Raw genomic sequence first — 27,442 nt, 5'->3', positions numbered from 1 at the left:
TGGAACAGATGCTCTCCTCCTCCAGGCCATCAGTCACAGCCCTGGTTGAGCAATGGGCCAATGTTTCAAGAGAACTTAAACTGGGGAGCATGAAAGGGGAACACTCTTCCCTAAGACTTCCCTAGTTTAAATCTCCAGGGCAAGAAACACCCTCTGGCCTTTGTACTTCCACTTTGTACTTTGTCCTGGCCCTGATGTAGTAGTCCCTGATTCTAATGAGTAAATTTTTAGCGTCATTAAGTCTACTTGGCTCGGCCCACCCCTTACTTGTGGAATTTGCTCCCTGTTTACATTTTTCTGCTCCTCTAAGAGCTCTGCCCCTTTTGGGGTCGTCCAAGGTGACCGGTGGATGGATTAAGTCTGCCTAATTCCAGAATGCACTTTTAGCAGGTTCACTGGGCTAAACAGCTAGAAAGCCATGGTTCCAAGCTGGGTTCCATCAGCGATATGGACTTCACCTACTTTTTATTTCTCAAATGGTTCAAAACTCTGGCCAGGGAAAGGGTGCTATTTTTGGCCTTCCTCTAAACCCTCAATACCTACTACCTATACTTCTGTTGCTCTTAAAGCCCTTACAGTCTAACCTCAGACCTTCGATAACTTAAGTCAATCTGGGTAGGGCAAGATGCTGGGACACCCACTGGTGAACACTCAAGTGGGGGCCTTCCTCCTTCTCCCTCTCACTGTGACAACCTCCTTCTGTTCCTTTAACACGCCAGGCTTATTTGTGCCAAGTGGCCTCCTCTCCCCAGAGACCATCTTCTCCCGATTCAGACTACAATCTTTCAAAGCTTGGTGAAATCCCACGTTTCTCACCCTGTCTCCTTTGAACTCTTGCAGCCACCACACTATCTCACACAACTGAGCACTTTCTTACAAGTCATCTTGATTCCATCGTTGGTCTAGTCAGGGTTTCTCAATGTCAGCCAGATCGATACCCTGGGTGGGTAATTGTTGTGAGGGCTGTCCTGGCCTCTGCCCCTAGAAGCCATATCCTATACCCTGCCCCCGAGATTTGTGTCTCTGGGAACTGCCAAGTGTCCCCTAGGCAAGCAAAATCATCCCCAGCTGAGAATCACTATGATTAGACCAGAAGACTTTGCCCTGGATGGCCAATACCGCTGAGCAGCTGCCCAAAGCTTGGTCAGAAGGGCCTGGTTGGAAATTGAATAGGATACAAAGAGCTGACTCGGCAGATAAGTTTTTAAAACTTAATGACTGATAGAGATAATACCCCTTAAGAGTCCCTATACTTCTCTATCCAAACTAACATTAAGTAAAATCAGAAGCAAAGCTAAAATCTGTGCTTCCTAAAACACCTGAATGCTGGAATTTTTTTTTTTTTGAGGCATGATTATCATCAACTAAGGAAAGATTCTCTCCTACAAATTCAGATATACTAATTACCGATCAAAAGACTAAACTGAGTAAATCCACATGAAGTGAGAAAATGAAAATGGAATGTACAATTCTATTCAATTAGAAGCAATTTTAGAGAATTTTATTTAACTGTCAACTTATCACCAACATCTAACATTTTTTAGTTCAGGTACATTTGGGTAAGAACATTAGGGAGAAATGTAAATTAAATACTATGAAACTATGCTTTTAATGAAACATGGTCTCAGTAAAATATGGACACAAAAGTTTAGTGGTTTTATTGCATTGTTAGAAAATTATATTATGAAAGATATAAAAAAATCAATGTTTTTCTGCTTCTTTTATAATCAGTATGCCATCTTCTACCATTATGGCTTTAATTTTCATTCTACCCAACAAGTTTCAAAGAATAGTTTATTACATGCCTTAATAAAACATTTAAAATATTTACAGATTCAAAATAGATGTTTTATAACTGAAAAAAGTTCACCTGAGAATTCACCGTAACATTGCCATTTTTTTCCCAAGTTGTTAATGTGACTGAGTGTCCACATGCAACCTGTATCGTCTACTGCATCTAACATACTTATTTCCTTATTTAAAATTAGTTAAGCAGTAAGCTATAGCAAACTGTTAAAAAAAATTACAGATGGAGAACCAAGACTGTATCCACATTTGTTTTGAATATGACAATTTAACGAATTATTTGCTATAGTTCCAGAATTTGAATAAGAAAAAAAATAAGGTAATGTTATTTTACTGAATTCAACATAACAGCTTTTAAAAAATCATCAAACATTGAGAAGGCCAGTTCATAAAATAGTGAACAATGATCATGTGAATATGCAATATACAAACTGAAAACATTTCAAAATTCTGCATGAAGGAAAAGGCATACACTGTATACTCATAATCCTGTCATTTGTCTTCGGCAGCCTCAAAAAAAATATTGCCTTGAAACATTTTCTTAGAAAAAACTTCTTTAGAAGTTAATGTTAAAATAGGCATAAATGTGTAATGCTATGCAATATACAGAAAACTTTCCCACTTATGGCCAAAAGACAAACGTAAAATCTTTTTTATCTGTCCATCTGCATTACAACTTGAAAATCATGTAGATATGAGGTAGTGTAGTTACTTGTATTACATGCTGGCTATTTAAAGTAATGCTAAATTTTAAGAAATTACACTTGGCCAATAATTCTGTGTCATTAATAGAAACCCTTAATGCTAAACTGTTTATAGGTAGAGAGAAATTTAAACCAAGTGCTTTACAAATTATATTTAAGCTCTGGAGACAACTACATTTTATCATAAAATAGTAGGTAATCTTTCAAAGCAAGTACAGTAGCAATTAAAGCAAAAGATTATTTGACATTTGCACATACACAAACTGATACAACCAATAGTTGGGTGTACACTGAGGTAGGAAATCAAGGGTTCCATTGGCTTAAGATTTTACATTTTGTAAACCAGAAGTTCTTATATTATTTTATATCGTGAAGCTGAAATTTAAAATTACAAGTATCAAAGAAATACCTATATGGAGAGATATATATGTATACATACACATACACACACACACACACACACACACACACACACACAAATTCTTTTGCAGTATGGGATGCACTATCAGAATTATTCTCCCTGACAAATTCTTGAGTGTACTTATAAAAGCTACTAGAAAATAAACAAGTCCAACTAATTTTCTCTTACAAATAAGTCAGTGACAGAGAGAACATACAAACCACTGAAAATATACTAGCAATATCCTCCCCCTACACCCTGATCAAAAAGGGTAACATTTGACAAATTACTCCAAGACATGAAGACTGGTCCCCATATACTCTCAAGGGCAAGGCCAACTTGCTTCAGACTTGTTCATACACAGTGGGTGGTGGCTGCCCACATTAGCTAGACAAGCCCTGCACTAGGCTCAGGATGCAGTCTATAGAAGTGTCTCTTTCAGCCCTCTGATTTTGGTGAAATCAACACTATAAACTACTCCTCTGTACCATTAAAACTGGGTTCTGCCAATGTTTCTGTGAATGTGAATATATGCATTTTTTTTAATTGCTGAGAAGATCCATAGCTTTCATTTGACTCTCAAACACATCTAACCCCAGCATGGCTAAAAGCCACCGCAAAATGTTATGCGATAGGTGCTCAGTTATCTATTTTGTAACAGGACTGAACAAACACTAAGACTGATCTTTAAATGTCCAAGTTAAAATGATTTGTGTGTCTTTATACCACACCAAATTTGGAGAAGAGAGCAAGGATTCAACCTGCTTTTCAAATGCAAACCCACAATAGAAAAAGATTGAGTTTCATCCTATTTCACAAACCTGCAGAGTTGCTGCAGATACATTTTTTATCTGTTACAATCATTTTTACAAGTGAATAATACGACTTCAAAAACAGGGTGAAAAAAATGAACTGCACTCCTGGTAAAAAGTAAGCAACATTCTTTCCCCGTGATGTCTGGTTTTCTGGCATTGGTGACCCACGGTGGAAAAATGAACAGCTTTACATGTTGGTAAGCTCTCCAGATTCTAGGGAGCCTGAGATAATGCTGCCAGTGTAATCACTCATGCCACTGTATTCTGAGTCCTATTTCTTCTTCCAAAGGGACAAAAATGCCAGGAAATAGGAAGTCCATGATGGGACCAGATATGGTAGAGACTGAAGCGGGGGGCAGGGAGGGAAAGTGACACTTAAATCTATTCATGTAGCCAGACTTTCTAGAGTCCATACTGAAGAGGAGAAGCAGCCCCCGTCTTAGGCCAACCACTTGCCTATTTACTAAATCTTCCCAATGTAGCTTAAAGCCTGATTTTAGGAGCCGAAGAACAAAGCCCTAAGATTCAGGTAAGACCATCTTTTTTTCACAATGCAGCTCTACAAAAATATTCCCAGTAGCTGACACCCTGCTTCTAAGAATAGAACTCTATTAGCATTGCTTGGGAAGAAATTTTCTTTCAAACTAAAATATTAGAAAAAAGTCAAATTATTAAACTTCTGCAGGCCACTTCTTTTAGTAGGAACTATCTGTAGATGTTTCAAGCTGTTAAATTGCTGTCTGATATGCTGCAGTTTTCATTCTCCTACTTATTCTGAATAGCAGGAAGAGTTATTACTAGAGTTATTATTCTTTAAAACATGAGTTTTAAAGGTTTACTACATTTTCACATGGATTTTTCTGATATCCAGGAGGCAAAATCATTTCTTTGTCTCTTGTAGAAATCAAGGAGAAATCATGGTTGACTTAAAGGAAATTCCCTTATGGTAAACTACTAAAGGAAAAAAACAGTATTGTTGAGCAACAGATGGTCATATTAGGCTTTCAAGACGCTGCCAAAACTTCAGGAGAAAATTAGATGGTTTGAAGGAAGTGAATGCAAGTTTACTCATCAGTAGTACATTTATCAGTCATCTGCTGACAGAAATCTGAGATCCCACCACTCTGACGACACTGTTCCGCAGGCCCAGCTTGCTCAGAGGTGGCTGTGGACATCTGCTGGGACTCCTGCCCTCGCGCGTAGCCAGGCTCACTGTTTCCTCTGGCACAGGGAGGCAGCACTGCTGGAGGCCGGTCAGATAAACTGAAAATTGATGGTAACGCCAGTTCACCATCAGGAGTACTTTTATCTTTTTCAGAAATTAAAAATGAAAGTGGGCAATCTGCAGCTGAGTACTTGGCGAGTATCTGTATTTGTTCTTGACTCAGAGCTGCTTCTTTACAAACTTTCTGGCAAAGTCCAGTTAGGTTCTGCTTTGTCTCACCCAGAGTTGACAAAATGTGATCTCTTTCCTTCAACAAGCTCTCCTTTTCACTTTGCTGTGAAGTGGGGAAAGAGAACACAATGGCTTGTGTTTATTAGCTCAATCAACATTTCCAAGGCGATCAAATAATATACAGGGGCTTCTCATCAAGTAAGATCACATGGAGTTTATCCTTTCAATTCCATTCAATTATACATTAAATACTAAAGGCCCAGAATCTCCCACCCAAAACTCTTGGGGCAGATGTATTTTGGCACAAAGCATTTTTCAGGTTTTGGAAAGACAGTATGGGTGCACACATAATTTCTCTAGCAGGCCTGGGGCAGCACTTCCCTATCAACTATCTTTACATTTCTAGGTAAACATTAAAATAGCAAATAATGAAGAAAGTAGGATAAAGACTATGTAGTCTAATGTCAATTTGGGGCAGTTTTTCGGTCAAAAGAGTTTGTGACAAACATACGGTTTTTGGAGCTTTCTGGATTTACAGACTGTACATAACAGGTATGGATGGCATTTTGGATGGGATACAAGAAAAAAAGTAAAAGTACAGTTAGCATAACTTAATTACTGAGACTCAAAGCATTGCAAGATTCAACTAATGACCAGCATTTGTTGAGCAGATTCTCTGACAGATATTGTGCTAAATGTTTTCCAACATGCAATCTCAGCTATGTAATCCACACAACACCTCTCTTGATTTAAGCAACATCAAACCCACTGAAGGGATGGGACTGAATTTAAGATGCCTAGAGACAGCCGGTGGGTGAGTTACTAAAGTGTGAAGAATTCGGGGGGGTAATTTTGTGCTTGCTAATTACCATTTTTGTTATTATTATAATTTTAAGATATTACCCCTATAAGAAAGTCTACCACAGAATTTTTCAAAAGTTTTTCTGGTTCCTGCCTTCCTGTCCATGTCACTTATCACTGCTGACAGCATGTCTTTTCTATTATCATCCCATTTCATCCTTCTTGTTCTAACATCTTATTGCTTCTAATCTATTATGAGCCAGGAAACCAAATAATCAAGGTATTTATAAGAAAAGAGTAAATAAACACTTGCTAGAAAGTCAAACGTTTTTCTTATGAAATTTATCACAACTCTCAACAAGTCAGTGTTGTTCTGTTTGCTTTCTGTTCATTGACAGGTTCTGGAGAGTTGAGGCTGCCAGTTAACCTTGAGACAAGTTAGTTCATAGTGCTAATCTATAAGTGCCATCCTTTAGTCTTTTATGACATAAAAGTCACTAAAAGGGTAAAACGAATTTTGCTTTATACAAAAGTATTGTTATGGTTTTATACAAAAGTATTACTATAAAATTATGTATGAATCCAATTATTGTTATTTCTAAAATATTTTAAAGCCTTGTAATATTTTGAGAAAATATACAATAAATACAAAATACTAAATTTTTATATGGCAAAGTATTCTCCAATCTGTTCAGATTTTTATATACAAGTTCTTTTTTTTTTTTTTTTTAAATAGATGTAGGTCAAGAATGTGCGTGTTAAGTATGTGTATGTAAGCAAAATCAATGTTTGGCCAGTACATTTTCTCTTATGCAAAGTTTATCAGTTGCACTCTTCTGATAAAATGAGTCTGCAGATACTGAAAGGGCAAGAACGGTACCTACTGCTTGTTCACAGTAGGAACCATTAAATGCAATCAACACCCATTTCTTTTTATGGTCTCTCAGAAGCCAATCCAAAGGAGGATGAAAACAAAGCTTCCAGAAGAAAGTGAGAAAGAATCTTTCTTCACTCATGGCAATATTCAGCCATGGACTCCTCTACCAAAGTTGGGATGAATCTATTCTAAACAGCAATAGAAAATTTTCAACTGCTGGTTGGTCTTTTAAATTAAATATGGTTCAACAAAATAAGGAGTACTTGAGCTTCCTCCCAGAAATTAGAACCACTACTTAACCTACAGATACTATGAAGATTACAAATATTTTATGACTTCTGTATCTTAATATCCACATGATCTTTAAATACTCTCACTCCTCCCACCCCACTAAATTAGGGATGACATCATTCTTTAAGTATACAAGATGGCTTGCTTCTTCACAACAACTAAAACAAATAGGCACAGCCCTAGAACTCCACCAGAATTATTTCTATAAATTAAATGTTCCCATCTGTTCCCCTGCACTTTAACTCCTACACAGCTAAGCTTCTAAGCAGTTTCCATTTCACTCTAAGTTTAAGACACATATTTACTATAATAGCAGTCAGCTTAATAACTAAAAGTAAAATACAAGTAATTCAAGTTAATTACTTAATGACATCAGTATTTAAGATACCTCCCAAAGTCACTACTTACAGTCATGAGTGGGACTCACTATTAGTGTCCTGCTACCTATCCCTACAATATATTTCCATTTTCCTATAAAAACAACTGTATAAATCACGTTTGAAGTGCTGCACCTTTAATTAGAGCTATTTCTTAAAAAGGAATAAAATTGGCATTCTGGTACCATTCTGGATTTTATACCAACAAAAAATCTTTACAGGCTGGGCACAGTGGCTCACGCCTGTAATCCCAGCACTTTGGGAGGCTGAGGTGGGCGGGTCATGTGAGGTCAGGAGTTCGAGACCAGCTTAGCCAACATGGTGAAACCCTGTCTCTAATAAAAATACAAAAAAATTAGCTGGGCATGGTGGCACACACCTGTAAACCTAGCTAAAAGGGCAGGCTGAGGCAGGGGAATCACTTGAGCCTGGGAGACGGAGGTTGCGGTGAGCCGAGATTGTGCCGCTGCACTCCAGCCTGGGTGACAGAGCAAGACTCTGTCTCAAAAAAAAAAAAAAAAAAAAACCTTTGCATCTAAATCCTTATTTTGAATAGCTAGTGCACAATATTTATTCAAATATAATTTTTTTAAAGATCATAAATATAACTCACCCAATAAAGATATAGAAGAATTTGGCACCAAAAGTACAAGTGACAATTTTATGATAGGGTAAAGAGTACTCACTGTTAGAAAATGGTCACTAATAGTTCCTTAGTAAGTAAAACCTCTGAACGGCAGTTCAGAGAAATCTGCAAATGGCACTGAGAAATATAAGCAAAAATGCTCATTTTCACTCATAAGATAAAAATAAAAGCTACCACGAGATATCATGGTATCTCACTATCAGACTGGAAAAAACCCAAAAGCTGACAACAAATCTTGACTGAGGGTGTGGACAGACACACACACATATACTGCTGCTGGAAGGCCAAATATGACAATTCCTAAGGAGGGGAATCTGTTAATATCTAATAAAATTATGTATGTATTTACCCTTGATCCAACAATCCCACTTCTAGGAATGTGTCCTAGAGACACAGCTCCTTAAACATGAAACAGTATACAGTTATTCACTGCAGGATCCCAACTGTCCACCCACAGAAGACTGGTTTGAACTGTATTACAGTCACTACTGAGTACTATGGAGCTGGAAAACGAATGACAACCTCTCTGAACTAAGAAAAAATATTTCCTATAAATCAATTCTTAAGTTTAAAAAGTACAGAAAAATGTATATAAAATACTTCCATGCAGCAGGATGGATAATAAGAGTAGACATAAAATGTTAACACATTTTTAGAAAAGAAACACAGGGAAAAAAAAATCCAGAAACTAATGAAAATGGTTACCTATAGGAAGTAGCTATGAATAGGGTATAAGGAGAAGATGAGATCAAGATTTGGAGTATATATTTTTTAAAATATAGTTTTAATGTTTGAACCATATAAACGTTTTACATTCAAAATAAAACAAATTAAAAATGTAGGCCAGGCATGGTGGCTCATGCCTAAAATCTCAGCACTTTGGGAGGCCAAGGCAGGAGGATCGATTGAGCCCAGGAGTTTTGAGAGGAGCCTGGGCAACACAGCGAAACCTCACCTTCACAAAAAAATTACCCGGGCATGGTGGTGCGCACCTGTAGTCCTGGCTACTCAGAAGGCTGATATGAGAGGATTTGCTTGATCCCAAGAAGTCAAGGCTGCAGTGAGTCATGACTGTGCCACTGCACTCTAGCCTGGGTGACAGAGTGAAACCCTGTCTCAAAAAATGTAGAGTAAATCCCAGTAATATAAATAGAAAAAAAAATTAATTGTATGCCAAATTGGTAACACAAATATTTCAAATAACTTTAAAGCTTCACACTGGGAAATATTTAAGCATAAAAAAGCAAATAAATCTCAAATTCTGCTCAATTTGTTTACTGTTAATAGTAATACTGATTGTCTAATTTTCTTACTTTTTATACAGTGTGCCCTCACTTAAAATCATCGACAGGTTTTTGGAAACTGACTTTAAGAGAAACAACGCACACCAGGTCCTCAATAAACATTTTGTTCCACATCCTTTCTTTTTTATTTTATTGTTTATTTATATTATACTTTAAGTTCTAGGGTACATGTGCACAACGTGCAGGTTTGTTACATATGTATACATGTGCCATGTTAGTGTGCTGCACCCATTAACTCGTTTTTTTTGTTTTTGTTTTTGTTTTTGTTTTTGTTTTAAGACGGAGTTTCGCTCTTGTAGCCCAGGCTGGAGTGCAATGGCATGATCTCAGCTCACCGCAACCTCCACCTCCCAGGTTCAAGCGATTCTCCTGCCTCAGCCTCCCGAGTAGCTGGGATTACAGGTTTGCACCACCATGTTGGCCAGGCTAGCCTCGAACTCCTGAGCCACCGCACCCGGCACATTAGGTATATCTCCTAATGCTATCCCTCCCCACTCCCCCACCCGACGACAGGCCCCGGTGTGTGATGTTCCCCACCCTGTGTCCAAGTGTTCTCATTTTTACAACATCCTTTCATTATAAAGTTGATGAGGAAAAAAACTGGTTTCATTATCCATCATTTCATGTTAAGTGAGAACTTACTGTATATTATAAAGGAAACAATACACTAATGTAATTGGAGCCAAAATTTTTCCTGTAAATGATGAGAGATTAAACATAAACACAGAAGTGAAGACAAAAGCTCTATACTGCTAAATTTGGACTGGAAATACTACATAAACTCAGGATTTCTAATGTACTTTTTACTTTCATTTACTGAAGCCTGATATATATGAATTCATGATATAATGAACTTTATTTTATACACAGATGCATATATTTCCTAGCTCTGTCCACTGAAAAAGGCCCAGAAGGAATAATACTCCAGCAGCAGGTAGGCTTTCCAAAGTCCAATATAACTGCTAGAAGAAACCAGGAGTTTTAAAGAAATGGGTGATTCCAAATCTTGAAACAATAGAGGTTAAAAAGTGAGACCATGGCAAGTGCTAGATGGTTATGTCAACAGGACAGGAGCTGGCTTGAACGGGCTCTCCCAGGCCAAATTTGAAAAATGTCAACATCAAAAAGAATAATGACTATTACTTATCCTAACAAATTGAATCAGAAAAAATTAATCCATGAGTCCACTGTGATTCCAAAGAGTGGGAGGGAGGGAAAAGAGAAAACAAGAAAAGGCCAGGCATGGTGGCTCATGTCTGTAATCCCAGCACTTTGGGAGGCTGAGGAAAGCAGATCACTTGAAGTCAGGTGTTCGAGACCAGGCTGGCCAACACGATGAAAACCCATCACTTCTAAAAATACAAAAATTAGCTAGGTGTGGTGGTGGGCACCTGTAGTCCTAGCTATTCGGGAGGCTGAGGCAGGAGAATCACATGAACCTGGGAGGTAGAGGTTGCAGTGAGCTGAGATCACGCCACTGCACTCCACACTCCAGCCTAGGCAACAGAGTGAGACTCTGTTTCAAAAAAAAATAAAAAAATAAAAGAGAAAGAAAGGAAGAACAATCCTTTTTAATCAGGAATACCAACTAAAATAATGTAAATAGAATGAAAGATTTAGAAAAATCATGATTTTGTAATCATGGTAATCACAGTGAAGGTCATCAACATATTCTAAAGGATGCAGGAGTATTGGGGAACGGGATAATTATAAAGTGCCCAAGTAACACATCATAGATAACTAAGCAACACAGGTTGAAAAAATATTACTTTGAAAATGGAGCAATCTGGCACTTCCCAGCTACCCAGGTACGACAATACTGACACTGGACCTCCTGCCTCCCTAGGCGACACAATATAAAGGACAACACCAGTGAATGTTTAAACTCAGTCTCCTCAACTCAAACATTTCCAGTTTACGGGAAGTAAAGGGATGGAGAAATGACTTAAAGCCATGGGGAAGCAATCAGACAAATAACTTAAAGTAAGACATTTATGAGAAATCCAGCCTGGATACTTCAAAAAGTTATTGTCATTAAAACAATGAGAGTACTTGTTCTAGATTAAGAGACTAAACAGGTTTAATCAAATGCATTATACGATGACTGTATCCTCGTTTGAAAAAAAAGCATCTATGAAAGATGGGAAAATCAGAGTAATTTGAATAAAAACTAGATATAATATTTAGGATGTGTTGAAATTCTCAGGCATAATAAAGGTATTAGTCATATCTAAGAATGCCTCTTTTTAGAAGATGCATGTTTAAACATTTAAGGATGAAGTGTCATAATATGGTAGCTTTCAAACAATTCAGAAAATAAAAGGAGAGGAAGAGAGCCAGAGTGAGGAATGACAGCCAGCAAGACAGCAGGACAGGAACAACAGTGACACCAAGGGGTGAGAGACCAAGATCAACCAAGTGGGGTTAAAAAAGGACCAAGATGGATAGACGGAGATAGAGGTGCAAAGACTGACAAACCAACAGGTATAGACAGATGATCTGAGGTGGAGAGACAAAGGCGGAAAGATCAAGATAGAGAAATAAAGCAAATGTGGCAAAATGTCAAAAATCAAAGAATCTACATGCAGAGTATATGGTTGCTTATGGTACCCATTCATTTAACTTTTCTGAAAGCTTGAAATTTTTAGAATGGGGTGGGGGGTGCTGACATGAAGCTCAAGAAAAAATGAACACACTTGAACTTGACTCCCTATGAGACTGTAAGTAAGTGAGGATTCTGTCTTACTCATTTCTGACATCCTGGTACCAAGCACAACATTTAACATGTAGGGTCACCAGCAAATACTTATAGGAAGAATAGAGAACCACTTTTATTTAAAGTACAACTAATACATATTGAGCCCTGAACACGTGCTGGGCAGTACAAACAGCTTTTCATCCCTGATCTCATCAGATCCTTGCATCAACCCCGCTGTGGCTGTTACTCTTATCCCACATTAGTAACGGGGGAATGTGGGTACTGGAGGTTAAGCAATTGCCCCAGACCACAAAGCTACCCAGTGGCCAGGCAGGCTTTCCAGTCATTTGTCTCCAAAGCCTCCGTCTGACCTCAGTGCTATCATGCAGTGAGTTCTCAGAATTTAAAACGTACATGACATTTATCTTGGACTTGTATCAAATGCAAGGTCCAGGGCCTTAACAACAGCTCTGGTATAGACTAAGAAATGTCCACCTTAAGGGGCACCCCAAGATAACTATGATGCCAATGGGACACACACCACATTTCAAGAAATGCTGCTCAACGACAACACGGAATGACAGAGGGCAGGTTCCGGAAGGGCCACTGGGGTGCGCTTTGGTTGAGCAGCCAGTAAATTGTGACTAGTTGTGAATAGGACAGGTTTATTTTTAATAAAATATAATCTTCACCACAAAATGCAAATCACTAAGGACGGATGAGGTCGTTTTACTTCTGTGCCATCATAATGGACAAAAGTAATGAAATAAAATGGTGTCTGAACACCTCAACCCTGAGCGCAAGTGTTTGTGAATATTCTGATTGCTGATCACTTACAAGTTGATATCGAAAACAATATTTGATACTTTCTAAAAGAAATACATTTTGGTAAATATTTTTCTGCAAAAAGCGAGGCTCCCTTCATTTCAGGGTACCTCTGAGGTTAAAATGGTTATCAGAGATATGTATATTTTCTAACTTCTGAATTAATCTTCCAGAAAAGAATAAACTTGGACCTTGTAAAGAAAGCTACATAGACAAGAGCTTCATAAGTTAAACACTGAACAGAAGCTGAATCCAAAGACTTTATAATTGTTAGTTTTAAAAGTCGGCCGAGCGCAGTGGCTCACGCCTATAATCCCAGCACTTTGGGAGGCCGAGGCGGGCGGATCAAGAGGTCAGGAGATCAAGACCATCCTGGCTAACACAGTGAAACCCCGTCTCTACTAAAAATATAAAAAAATTACCCAGGCATGGTGGCCAGCGCCTGTAGTCCCAGCTACTCGGGAGGCCGAGGCAGGTGAATGGTGTGAACCTAGGAGGCGGAGCTTACAGTGAGCCAAGACCGACCTCCAGCCTGGGCGAAAAGAGCGAGACTCTGCCTCAAAAAAAAAAATAAAAAAAATAAAAAAAATAACAAAAAAAACCAAAGTCATGTTACTGGCTTATGCATTATGCGCATTCAGTTCTTGTAATAAAAGCAATGCTAAATTAATGCTTAACCTCTAACATACTATAAAATTCAAAATAAATGCTAAAGTCAATACCATCCATTTTTCCACCAAATAAATAAACACCTTTTCTTCAAAGGTTCTATTAGACTCTGACAGAACTTCTTGTTGAGAAATACCTTATTTACTAAATGCTAACTCACATCTCCCTTTGTCCCAACACACTGAGACTTTAATAAAAGTGTCCTTTATTCCTTTATACATAATTATAATACTAACCCACTTTGCAAACATTTTAGAATAATTATTCTATTGTAATCAAACCCCTTTTTATCACATGCTGATCCATCCAGAATCTATTATGCCATTGCCCTCAGGACGAACTGCAAAAAGTTCCAAGATTTCTTTCTAGGAAAACAAACAGCCAATAGCCTAAGACCAAACTAACTAGAATATAGGGCCCTCTGCATGAATATTTTTAGACCTGAGCAATAAATACTGTGAATCTATTAATATGTTAAAGCCAACCAGTCATTCACTATGTGCAAATGGCTGTTTAATTATTAAACAAGCAATTTCCCTTAAATAGGTTTGTTATAATCTTTAGACTATAAAGACTAAGAATACTGCTTGTTTATTGGCCATGTTACTTTCAAAAAGTAACATCTCAATGAGATTAAAATATACACAAATATCTGTTCACATTCCTTCCTCTTTCTCAACTCTCCATGCTACTAAGTATAAACCTCTGGCTGTAACCCTCCTAGTTTTCTGTTTACAAAAGACAAGATCCATAACATCACCCAACAACCAGGGTCCAAGTAAACTTCTTACCATAATAACTATCTTAAACGTCAAATTCTTTTCCTTCTAGACGGGCCAGCTTTCTTATTCGTATTAGCTAATAAGCAGCATATTTTCTGTTTATGTTTATCTGAGAAAGACATCTACGCAGTACAGAAATTTGTAATGTACCCCTCACGCTGCAACTGGAGTTTGCCAGTACAAATCACTAGAACTGAGAGCAGTGTGAAGGACTGAGTAGAGACTTCAAGGAAGATGAAACACAAATGAGTCACTCTGATACAAAAATTCCAACACAACTTCTCTGGGGTTATTTTAGAAGTCAGACTGGCGCCTATCTAGGTGCAGGAGACACTATCAGATGTCTGCTGTGCCTGCCCAGAAAGGAGGGTCTTGACTCTTCTATTTTGTTCTTGCTCGCTAGTCACAGAAGAGGATACCTGAGTGAATTCAGCCAGTAAGATGCTCTCCTTGGGAATTCAGAACTGACTAAAACAGTAGTCTCTGACTGGATTAGTCCCTGGAGAGAGTGAAATTATTCAGGCATTGTGCCACAGCCACCCTTCCCATGTGCACTTAGTGACACACAAAGCCACTCTCGGATAGAGAGCGAAGCGGGTGCACAGAGAAGTCCCTGGGTTCCCAGGAGTCTTCCACTTCTGTTCCCTGTTATTTATGAGGCCTGGCTCCATTGTCTAGCTTCTAAATGAGAGGTACCTATCTCCCTACAACAAATTCATTCATTCATTCATTCATTCTTCAATCAAAAGTCTGTTTCTTGAAGCCAAAGAGTCCAAATTAATGTAATAGTTAAACAGGATACTGACCATTCAGATTTTGGATTTCATAAAAACTGTTGAGAAACAAAATATTACTTTGTATTGAAAATTAACCAGTAGTTATTCACTGACCATATGAAAGGAACCTTACTATGATGACAGAAGCAATATACCAAACACAGAGTTTACAGTTTAGGCAGAGACATTAGGAAGAAGGTCAATTAAGAAAGGGAAAATGGAGACCGGATGCAATGGCTCACACCTGTAATCCCAGCACTTTGGAAGGCTGAGGCGGGCGGATCACGAGGTCAGGAGATCGAGACCATCCTGGCTAACACGGTGAAGCCCCTGTTCTCCACTAAAAATACAAAAAATTAGTTGGGTGTGGTGGCACGTGCCTGTAATCCCAGCTACTCAGGAGGCTGAGGCAGGAGAATTGCTTGAACCCGGGAGACAGAGACAGGAGAATCGCTTGAACCCGGGAAGCGGAAGTTGCAGTGAGCCGAGATCATGCCACTGCATTCCAGCCTGGGTGACAGAGCAAGACTCCGTCTAAAAATAAATAAATAAATAAACCAAATAAAATTTTTTAAAAAGTAGAAAATGGAAAATAATAAAAAATACATAGTATTTATTGAGTAGTTACTACGTGCCAGGCATTGTTCTAAGTTCTTCAGATGGATTAACTCAATTAATTCCCCCAAATAAGCACCTAATCTATAAAGTAGGAACTAGTATTATCCTATTTTTCCGATGAAAACCCCAAGTCACAGAGAAATTAACCTGCCCAAAGTTACTAAGCATCTGATTGAGAGCCCACAATTTTAACCACTGTATCTGCCACCTCTCTAAGAAGGAAAGGCAGAGGGAGAAGAAAGCCCAAAGATAGCAAGGCTTCTTCATCCTAGATATCTGAAATTTAGTAGCAATATCAATAATCTAGCAAACCAATGTCTGATTTGTATCAAAAAAATAAAACCCTTGAGCCAAGAAATAGAGTAGTTCTAAAGGATAATAGCTACTCTCAAACATATTTGCTTAGTATCCATTTATAAAATAAAGTTACGAAATAAACTAGAATAGTCTTGTTTCGCTTTTATTTTTATTTTTAGAGGAGTAAGAAAACTGGATAAACTCTATGAACTACTATAAATTATAGCTGGCAGACGAGAAAGAGCAAGAAAAAGAACTAAGAAGCATAACTAAGAACTTCAGTAGTACAATTTTATGTAGATTTCATTCCACTAGCTTCGCATAACCTAACAGTGTAAAAAGCATCTCTGTATTGCAGCACAGAATAAAAACTGAAGCTCAAAATGCTATACTCCTTCTAAAGGCAGGTAAGGGTTTAATTCAAAACTGAATAAGAAAGAACACCAGTGTTTATTAAAGGTATTACTGATACACACTCTAAAAGTACTAAGTACTATAGAATTGAAAACTTTTCCTCCTTGGTTTTAACAATTTTAACTATTCAGCAATATCATGTCGGTGTTTGGGTTTTTTGTTTTTTTTTTTAACATCTCTCATGCCTCTATTTGTAAAACATCTAGTTCCTCTATTTTTTATTTAGTTATGCTTCATCTCTTTAATATAGTTATGATTTTTTATCTTTTTACACAAAGTATATGTACAATATATAAATAATAATTTTTTATTTTTCAACTTCTCCTGGAGGCACAATTTTTTTCCCTAAATTGTTGCTGTTTAATTGCCATTCATAGCTAGAATGTTCACGCTTGAAAACTTGCCACAATCCCAACTTTTAAACTTTCAACAATTAATAGACACAAAATTGAATATTCAAGCAATGTTTTTACTACTTCTAGGCTGTTTCCTTGCTATCTTTTACCATATCTTAGCTTTAGCTGGCCTGTACTATCAGAGTTGTCCTCTTTCATACAATGCTTCCTTCCACCAACGGAAAAAAGAAAGAGGAGTAAACTAATCAATTTTCAGTTAATTTGTGTCTTGATGCTGGAATAGAAAATAAGATTCAGGCCAGGCACGGTGGCTCATGCCTGAAATCCCTTTGGGAGGCCGAGACAGGCAGATCACGAGGTCAGGAGATCGAGACCATCCTGGCTCACACAGTGAAACCCCATCTCTACTAAAAATACAAAAAATAAATTAAAAAAAAAATTAGCCAGGCGCAGTGGCAGGCGCCTGTAGTCCCAGCTACTCCGGAGGCTGAGGCAGGAGAATGGCATGAACCCAGCAGGCAGAGCTTGCAGTGAGCCGAGATCGCACCACTGCACTCCAGCCTGGGCGACAAAGCAAGACTCCATCTCAAAAAAGAAAAAGAAAAGATTCAAAAGCAAGCATTGTTCTCACTTAGGATCCCATTAGATATTAATATTTTCAATTCATATCACCATATCTATCAGAATTTTTTTCCTTAGATGAAAGATCCTGGTTGGTCTGGTTTTGGTATCAACCAAAACAAGTTATTCAGGTCCACAGTTCATTTAAATGAACACCTGGAATATTAACTTCTATAGACACAAAACAGAGAACCTAAAGTGCTTTATAATTTCTTGAATCTATTCACAACCACTAATGATTAGGTAGACAGTAAAGTCATTCTTAATTTGAAAACCTTCTTTTTAAAAAGCACTTACATATCACAGCATATCATGGTAAAAATGATAAAATGGTAATTGATACATATTAAAATAAGTAATTGAGCATTATATCTGACCTAGAAATTTAAAAACTATTTCCTTGACAAAAAAGAAAGTGGTGGAATTTAAATAGTAACAAGAAACTTTTACACTTACCAGCTTCTCAATTTCTGATTCAAGATTCTGTATACAGTCAAGTTTTCTCTTGCGACAGCGCTGTGCAGCAATTCTGTTTTTACTTCTTCTTCGAATATCATGGATACAATCCAGCTGTTCTGGAGTAAGCTTGTGCATTTTCAACAAGGACTGAAAATCATTTCGAGACAGTGAAATTATCCGTTGTGCATTGAATGGCAGTTTTACCTAGAATATGAAATAAATATTACTAATTATTGCTGTATTTTATAATTATAGTCAAACCTAGGAAGATGAAGGTATACATCTAAGTTTTTCAGAGAACTTATTTTACATTAAAGAAAACATAGGCCTCTATCCCAATTTCTATACAATCTCAAAAGGATATCTGCACTGATCTACACATATTTTTTTGGAGACAGGGTCTCTGTCATGCAGGAGTACGGTGGCACAATCATGGCTTACTGCAGCCTCAACCTCCTAGGCTCAAGCGATCCTCTCACCTCAGCTTCCTAAGTAGCTGGGACTACTGGCACATGCCACCATGCCTGGCTAATTTTTGTATTTTTTGTAGAGATGGGGTTTTACCATGTTGCCCAAGCTGATCTCAAACTCCTGGGCTCAGGCAATCTACCCACCTCAGCCTCCCAAGGTGTTGGGATTACAGGCATGAGCCACTGTGCCCAGTCTGTACTCCCCGCCATATTCGTTACCGCATTATTCACAATAGCCATGATATGGAAACAACCTAAATGTCCATGGATGGATGAACGGATAAAGAAAACGTGGTGTATATACACAAAGGAATACCATTCAGCCTGATAAAAAGAAGGAAATCCTGCCATTTGCCTACAATATGGAGAACTTGGGAGGCATCATGCTAAGTGAAATAAGCCAGACACAGAGGAGAGTAAATCCAACATGATTTCACTTATACGAAGTAGACAGAACAGTCAAACTCACAGAAACAGAGAGTAGAATGGTGGTTGCCAGGGGCTAGGGAGAGGGAAAAAATGGGGAATTGCAATTGGATGGGTTAAGTTTCAGTCATAAAAGAATAAGTTATAGAGATCTGCTGTACAATATTGTGCTTATACTTAACAATACTGTATCGTACACTTAAAATTTTGTTATAAGGGTAGATCCCATGTTAAGTATTCTTACAAAAAACAAATAAAGCCCAAGAAAGGGGAAAAAATGCAATGGATAAAATAGAAAAATAATTTTTAAAAAGAATGTAAATTGTGATTATAAAGAGAAAAGCCAACTATTGAAAGGCAAAAAAAATCATAAAATATAAAAACAAAAAAAAGAAAAAATATTTTAATTAATATATTTTTGGAAGGAACTAACAGGCCCTTGTCATTATTGGACTTATAAGTAATATTTTACAGAAAGGATCTATCAAATACAAACAGAATATACAAATCAAGCTTGCTTTGATTAATATCATACCAGCTACATGTAACTCATGCTAAATTAAGACATTCATCAATAGTTGAAATGGCCAAAGGAAAATTTAAAAATCAATGGCCATGAAAAACTAGATCCAATAAACTTTACTCCACTAGAAGTCACATTCCTACAACTAATCACTGTTAAACCACTGCTCAGGGACATGTCCCAGGTCTAGAGGTTCTTGTTGGCAATGAGCAAGACTGAATATATGCTGCATTTTTCCAGGAGTTATCAAATAATGAGCATAGAATCATTATTCTTTTTTGTCTTGCAGCATGGCATTTGATTTAAACAATTAAATGGCCGATGTGTGAACACAGCCAATGTGTGAACCTACTTTATGGTTAATATATCTACTGGAAACGAATGAACAGAAGTCCTTCAAACTTCATCTCTCTCTTTTGGTATTTATCACACAGTGTTTTTAAAAAATTTTTTGAGACAGTCTTGCTCTGTCTCCTAGGCTGGAGTGCAGTGGTGCAAACCTGGCTCACTGCAACCTCCGCCTCCCACATTCAAGCGCTTCTCCTGCCTCAGCCTCTCGAGTAGCTGGGATTACAGGCACCCACCACCACACCCAGCTAATTTTTGTAGAGACGGAGATTCGCCATGTTGGCCAGGCTGATCTCAAACTTCTGACTTCAGGTGATCCACCCACACCTCGGCTTCTCAAAGTGCTGGAATTAACAGTTGTGGGCCACTGCGCCCAGCCCTATCACACAGTCTTACAATTAATTTTGTATGAGTTTCCTCCCCACTCCCTGAACCTGATTATATCCCTAATGATGCAAAGGGAGCTGATCCACAGTAAATCCCAATTAATGGTTATTAAAACAATGAATTAAGAACATATTCCTGCTCACCTCACATTCTTGTTCTCTGGCTGAACAGGATTCACTGTCTCCTTCGGTGTCCGTCTCAGAGTCGTCTCCCAAGCTAATGACACAAGCATATGGGCAAGGTTCTTGCTGGGGTTCTGAAACATAATCATCGTTTCCAATTTCCAAATTGCTTGAACAGCCTTCAGTACTCAGAGTACTTATAAAAGGGCAGTTGACAGAACTTAATGTTGTGAAAGTCCTTTGACCTGGTTCTGGGCTCTCACTAATCCTGATACCTAACCACGGACACTCAGACCGTTTCTGTGAGATCTGTTCTGAGCCATCTTTGGCCACAGCAGGTGATAACTGCATTTGGCAAGGAGTGTCCGTGCTGCAAATGTCACTCCAGAAGCCTTTTGCTAGGTGTTCTGCCACTTCTCGCTCCACACTACTCCTATCACTAGATGCAACACTACTATCTTCCCTGGTGCCCAAGTCGGATTTCAAAGGTAAATCCTGACTTTCACCAAATGTTTTTTCTTGGACGTCTGTACCTGACAAAGGCTTTTCTGTTAACACTGTTGTGTTTTGCATACCAGCAAAATTCAAGTCACCATATTGGTCATATGTGTGTAAAAGAGACAAAGAATAAAGTCCATGAGGGTCTATGGAAGAATTGTGGGGGAAAGGAGTCACTTCTGATTTTTCAGTTGGGCACTGAGAAGCAGGATCTTTCTTCGTTTCTTCAGGTTCCATTGCTAATTTACTTTCGTCACATTTTAACATCACCTGCAAATCTCTACACTCCGGGACTCCTCCCAGGCATTCATTTTCAGACCTTTCATTTGGCTGAACAGAAGCATGAATGTCTTTGACACTAGATTCCCCAGTACGGACTCTGTCAGTTCCAAATGCTTTTTGGAATTTTCTGTATTTGGGGCATAAAGAAGGCAAGGCCAGAGCAGCATCCTTCTCTAAGCACATGGACTCATATGTCTGACTGGCACTGTCTTGTAGAGGAGGTGAGGCTTTTGCATTTCCTTGATACCTGCGGAGTTTACACTGAGGAGTCTGAACATTTTTATTTTCCAGAAATTCCTCCACTTCATCAGTTTCTAGATCCCTCTGGTCCAAAAGTGAAAGTTTAAGGTCTGTTTTCTGACAGTGTGATGAAAAGCATTTTTTTCTTGGGCATTCTTGCTGGTCTGCAGTGGAGTCCAAAAACTTAAATTTCAGAAACTGAAAGCAGGATTCCTCAATATTATGTACACTTAAAAACTCCACACATTTGCACACTTCATCCACATTCTCTTTACTTAAAATCAGTTTAGCAGTGTAGGCAAACTGAATTAAAGGTTCAAATCCTTTAACTGTCACCTGTTGATACACAAAATAAAAACAAACACATCATTTGAAAGCTGTCTAGTACATAAAAACAAAATAAGTAGAAGAGGAATAGAGAGATATGTAACTTATTTGTGATAATTATAAAATATGTACTTTAATTTGAAGAAAACATATTCTTCTAAGAAATGTAAAAGAAAAAGATCCTGGAAAAGCATGCTTTTCACAGGGACCACACACTATTTTATAGAGTCCTCTCTTAATTGCACATGAATTATGGTTTACTCACATAAGTTAAAGATGTAAGACATTACCACAATTTTCCCATGATAGTGAAAAAAAAAATCATCTATGAATTAGAGCAGGATGAACACTACCTGCCACACATAGTGAGTCTACTGCTAGCCCAGCTCCACATGGCCACTGTATTCCAAACAACTCCAACTGCTACAAGCTACAAAAGCAGAATTTTAAAGGATATAAAACAGTATTTGTAAAGCAGTTACAAAGTCTTGATCCATGGTAAATGCATACTAACTGGTAACTATTAACTTTACTGTCAAAAATTCCTAACAGTAAAAGTTTTAAAGATTCAGATTTTTAAAAGTGATCTAAGAGAAGTTATAAAAATCATGCCTCGGTACTGTTTCAGCAAAAATTCATGGACTCGAAGTAACAAAACTTTTAAGTAGAAACTTGCACATTTACATTAAACCTGCCTCTTAAAGTGAGAGGCAAATGGAACCAACTCCAGTACACAGAAGGCATCATCCTGGATTAAAAGCACAAAATTAATTTGAAACCACTGAGTTCTTATAAGAGTGGTCAAGATAATATTAATATTTGTGATTTTTTTTTTTCTAAGACGGAGTCTCGCTCTGTCGCCCAGGCTGGAGTGCAGTGGCGCGATCTCGGCTCACTGCAAGCTCCGCCTCTCGGGTTCACGCCATTCTCCTGCCTCAGCCTCCCGAGCAGCTGGGACTACAGGTGCCTGCCACCATGCCCGGCTAATTTTTCTGTATTTTTAGTAGAGACGGGGGTTTCACCACGTTAGCCAGGATGGTCTCTATTTCCTGACCTCGTGATCCACTCGCCTAGGCCTCCCAAAGTGCTGGGATTACAGGCGTGAGCCACCGCGCCCGGCTGTGATCTTCTTAAAAACATAAACATGCTAAACCATGTTTAGGCTTTTTAAAGGCTCCAATAAAAAGCAGTGATACCATCAAATGCTAATGAGAATGCCGATAAACTAAATCACTCACATATTGCTAGTGGGAATGTAAAATGGTACAGACACTTTGAAAAAAACTTTCTTATAAAACTAAACATGCAACTACCATATAACCCAGCAACTGCACTCCTGGTCTTTTATCCCAGAGAAATGCAAATTTATGTTCACACAAAAACCAGTACACAAATGTTTACAGCAATTTTATTTGTGATAGCCAAAAACCAGAATTAGCCTGATTTCCTTCAATAGGTAAAAAGCTACACACACACACACACACACACACACACACACACACACACACACAAGGTACATCCATACTACAGAATATTACTCAGCAATAAAAAGGAATAAATTGCTGATACACACAAGCTGGATAATCTCAGCTAAGTCAAACAACATCAATCCTAAGAGGTAATATACTGCATAATTCCATTTATATAACATTTTTAGAATGACAAAACTTTAGAAAAGGAAGAAAGATTAGTGGTTGCCATGGATTAGGCACGGAGGAAGGGGGCAAGGGGATGAGGGCATGGAGTGTAGGCAGGAGATGTCTGTGGTTATAAAAGGACAACACAAGGGATCTTTGTGTTGGCAAGTTCAGTTCCTTTTTTTTTTTTTTTTTTTTTGAGGCAGAGTCTCTCTCTGTCACCCAGGCTAGAGTGCAGCGGCACGATCTTGGCTCACTGCAAGTGATTCTCCTGCCTCAGTCTCCCGAGTAGCTGGGATTACAGGTGCCCGCCACCACGCCTGGCTAATTTTTGTATTTTTAGTAGAGATGTGGTTTCACCATGTTGGCCAGGCTGGTCTCGAACTCCTGACCTCAGGTGATCTGCCTGCCTCGCCCTCCCAAAGTGCTGGGATTACAGGCATGAGCCACTGGGCCCGGCTGTTATCTTAACTATGGTGGTGGATACACAAACCTTCGCAGGGGATAAAATTATATAGAACTTAACCCGCACACACACATGCTAGTACAAGCAAAATTGTGGCAATCTGAACGCTATGGGAGATTGTATCAATATCCTGGTTGTAATACTATACTACAATTTTGCAAAATGTTATCAATGGCGGACACTGGACAAAGTGAAAAGGAACTCTGCATTGTTTCTTACATCTGTACATGAAAACATCAGTGTGACAGTTAATATTAAATGTCAACTTGATTGGATTGAAGGCTGTAAAGTCTTGTTTCTGGGTGTGTCAGTGAGGGCGTTGCTAGAGAAGACTAACATTTGAGTCAGTGGACTGGGAGAGGAAGACCCACCCTCAATATGGGTGGGCACCATCCACTCAGCTGCCAGCGAGGCTGGAACAAAACAGGAGGAAAAAGGTGGGATAGGTGACTTGCTGAGTCTTCCAGCTTTCATCTTTCTCCCCTGCTGGATGCCTCCTGCCCTTGACATCAGACGCCAGGTTCTTTGGCCTTTGGACTCTCAGACTTACACCAGCGGTTTGCCGAGGGCTCTTGGGCCTTTGGCCACAGACTGAAGGCTCTACAGTGTTGGCTTCCCTACTTTTGAGGCCTTTGGACTCGGACTGGGCCACTACTAGCTTCCTTCCTCCTCAGCTTGCAGGTGGCCTATAATGGGCCTTCACCTTGTGAACATGTGAGCCAATTCTCCTTAACAAACGCCCCTTCATACATACATATATCCTATTAGTTCTGTCCCTCTGGAGAACCCTAATACACTCGATAAAAATTTCAATTAAAATTTTTAAATATGTTAAAATAATCTAAAAAGGTCTTTAGGATAGTGAGTTATAAGGTATTTTGACATTGTCACTATAATGAAACACTTCAAATATTTGAAAACTTATGATTTACACATTAGAAAGAATGAATGAATGCATACACACATGCATGTATGCACATACCTTTCCTCCTAAATCCACGAATCAAACTTTGCTTTACTTGTAAAGTCTCATTCAATAATTTGAAAATATGAACCATAGTTAATACATCTCCATTATAAAATGTGTTGTTCTTTTTTTAAAACAATGGCTAGTTCATAGGTTGGCCTTTTTTACCATTTTCTTGATATTGCACCATTGACTCTGACCTCTGCTACAAAACTAACAGACAACCTGTTCCCAAAACCGTAGCTGCAGTTTCACAGAAGTAGGCATGGACAGCAACAAGCTAAACTGTAGACTTAGTTTACAGTTTATCCAACCGTATCCAACTGGGAATATCCCACATAGACCTGTCATACTCAAATGATTTCTACATTCTTTCTCCATATTCCTCCTAACTTCTATTTGTGTCCCAATGCCACAGCCTTGATACTCTGCTAGTAGCAGTTACTAACTAAAGCAAGGGATGCTGCTAGGAGTCAGCACAGCCAGCACATCCCCACCCAAAAGAGAATTCCTCTGAAAGGCAGGACATTAACAAGGACCCAAATATTTGTTAGCCTGAGCTCCACAACAGACCAGAGAAAAAGATGTATGTAAAAATAAGGCTATATAAAAATGACGCAACACTGTTTATTTTTTCTAATCAATACATAAAGACTAAGTCAAGAAAGAAGGGGAGACAGAACACTCATGGAGTGCCTCCTTTTCATAGGAGATGTCTTGGGAAAACGGACGTTTTACAGAACCCTAAACCTAGTGATATGGTTTGGCTGTGTCCCCACCCAAATCTTATCTTGAATTGTAGCTCCCACAATTGCCACGTCATGGGAGGGACCCAATGGGAGGTCACTGAATCACAGGGGCGGGTCTTTCCAGTGCTATTCTGGTGATAGTGAATAAGTCTCACGAGATGTGATGGTTTTATAAGGGGGAGCTTCACTGCACAAGTTCTCTCTTGCCCACCACCACGTAAGTCCCTTTGCTTTTCCTTCGTCTTCCACCATGATTGTGAGGTCTCCCCAGCCATGTGCAACTGTGAGCCGATTAAACTTCTTTCCTTTAAAAATTACCCAGTTTCAGGTATGTCTTTATTAGCGCCACGAGAACAGACTAACACACATAGCTACAATTGCTGATCACTGGAAAGGGCCCCTAGAAGAGAATGTCACACAGCACAGACTCTCAAAACCATGACTTTTCCAATTGCCTACAATCCACTGGGCGTGTCCTGATTTGGTCATTTCATCAAAAATAACATAACAGTGGGTGTTATGTTATATCCAACTGCTCAGTAATGTTAACCAACATTCAAAATTAATGATTTTACATTAAAAAAACTAAAAAAAAAAAAAAAAGGGGTTGCACAGAACCTGGGAAATGCTCCATAGCCACCTGACAAGGAGACTGTGCTTTATTTTCAACATTATGAACCATAAAAAACTTAAGTAAAAGTAGATTAAAATTGCCAAAAACATGGATCTCTCACCTCTTCTGGAAGAGTAATGTTCAGCTCTCCATCAGCCTGGCCTACGATTCTTGAGTGGAAGTAACTGCTGCATGCCGCCAGCACGGACCGGTGAGCGCGGAACCGCTGTCCCTCCACAAAGATGGTGACATCGCACAGCACATCTTTCTTCCGCTGGTCATTAAGGCTGAGTAAAACATTGGTGCTATGCACAGAAGATTCATAGGCAAAAACCGAGTTCTCACTCAGAGACATTCTGCATAACAAATGTTGTCGGGAAGTTCAGTGGAAAGCATGCTTCTAATTATCATCAACCTGCAAACACACATGCAAGATTTCACTTAAATAACATCTTGTTAAAAAATGACAGTGTCAAATACAGGCTAAGATACATACTCATTAAAACAAAAATGAAAATAAAAAACCTCCAGAGGAACAACCTAGAGGCATTTATTCAATATACTTCATTTAAAATAGGTTCTTGATAGCAGTTTTTCTAACTAATTTTACGGAAAAGATTCTTGGTGTGAGGGAACTTTTTGAACCAAGGATTTCATGGCTCTCTGAAAGTGAGACATTACACACTGAGTAACCACCTACTCTGAGCAAACAGATGGGAGCAGGGAATTTCTGGTGGCATCCCAATCCTATTGTTTTGAGACAGTTGAGAGAGAGAGAGAAGGCAGGAGAGACAGCCAGAGAGGTAAGAAGGAAGGTCCCCAGAGGTCACACCTTGGGATGAGACTGATAGTAAAACAGGCATGTGCTGTTCCACATTCTCCACACCCCATTCCTCAACATCTGATAGATGGCAAGTGAATTTAGTGTTTTATAACAAGGGACACTGTTCTACAAAAGGTAAAGTTCCTCCAGCACCAAGAAGAAAATGACTGAAATGTGTCAAGCCAGATCTTGGTAGTAAGTCTTTTTATACAGTAAGATTTACTTCACACTACAAATACAGGCAAGTAAAACTACCTCATTAATTACATGCAGAAACTAGGTTTTCTCAAAATGCTAAGAAAAAGTTATAATTTTATATTTTTTTAAAATACATACTAACATATAATAGCCTCCAAATATTTTTTGATCACATACACACTACTGCCAAAAACAAGAATACCCCCAATACGTGTATGCTTATCTATATTTTTCAGACATGTGCTACTATTCTGATATATATGTTCTGAGAAACACAGAAGTTCAAAGTAACAGGTTAAAAGAGAAGTTCTAATATTGTCTTCCAGCACCCTACGGCCGGAAAGGATGATACTGTGAGGAGCTTATTGGCCTTTATCCGTGTGATGCCTCACGGTATCATCCCTGCGTCATTCACTTCTGTTCTCCTGACACAT

General features: G+C 38.6%; 1 protein-coding gene across 3 annotated transcripts in view, besides 1 other annotated feature; it reads right to left on the bottom strand.

Moving 5' to 3' along the window:
* BACH1 (BTB domain and CNC homolog 1) overlaps nucleotides 1-27,442 on the bottom strand; it is a 62,973-nt gene that overhangs the window by 14,272 nt on the left and 21,259 nt on the right. For 2 of the 3 annotated variants that reach the window (NM_001186.4, NM_206866.3), the window contains exons 2-5: nucleotides 26,109-26,402; nucleotides 20,230-21,564; nucleotides 17,930-18,136; nucleotides 1,475-5,224 (exon numbers count right to left, since the gene is read on the bottom strand). In NM_001186.4, coding sequence (NP_001177.1) covers nucleotides 4,790-5,224; nucleotides 17,930-18,136; nucleotides 20,230-21,564; nucleotides 26,109-26,342 — 2,211 coding nt within the window. In that variant the 5' untranslated portion in view covers nucleotides 26,343-26,402 and the 3' untranslated portion in view covers nucleotides 1,475-4,789. Of the gene's footprint in view, nucleotides 1-1,474; nucleotides 5,225-17,929; nucleotides 18,137-20,229; nucleotides 21,565-26,108; nucleotides 26,403-27,442 lie in introns of those variants that run through there. The other variant, NR_027655.3, reaches the window with a different exon arrangement.
* Nucleotides 4,304-5,503: an enhancer, noted in NCBI's record as "CDK7 strongly-dependent group 2 enhancer chr21:30714441-30715640 (GRCh37/hg19 assembly coordinates)". NCBI's record gives its function as "activates an origin of replication core promoter dependent on BRD2, BRD4, P300/CBP, MED14 and CDK7 cofactors, with strong dependence on CDK7, by STARR-seq in HCT116 cells {active_cell/tissue: HCT116}" and the evidence as "EXISTENCE:reporter gene assay evidence [ECO:0000049][PMID:35650434]".

The sequence above is a fragment of the Homo sapiens genome, chromosome 21 (genome assembly GCF_000001405.40).
Source record: "Homo sapiens chromosome 21, GRCh38.p14 Primary Assembly".
Taxonomy (NCBI): Eukaryota; Metazoa; Chordata; class Mammalia; order Primates; family Hominidae; genus Homo; species Homo sapiens.
The sequence above is the reverse complement of the archived record's forward strand: the minus strand, read 5'-3'. Positions and strand labels throughout refer to the sequence as shown.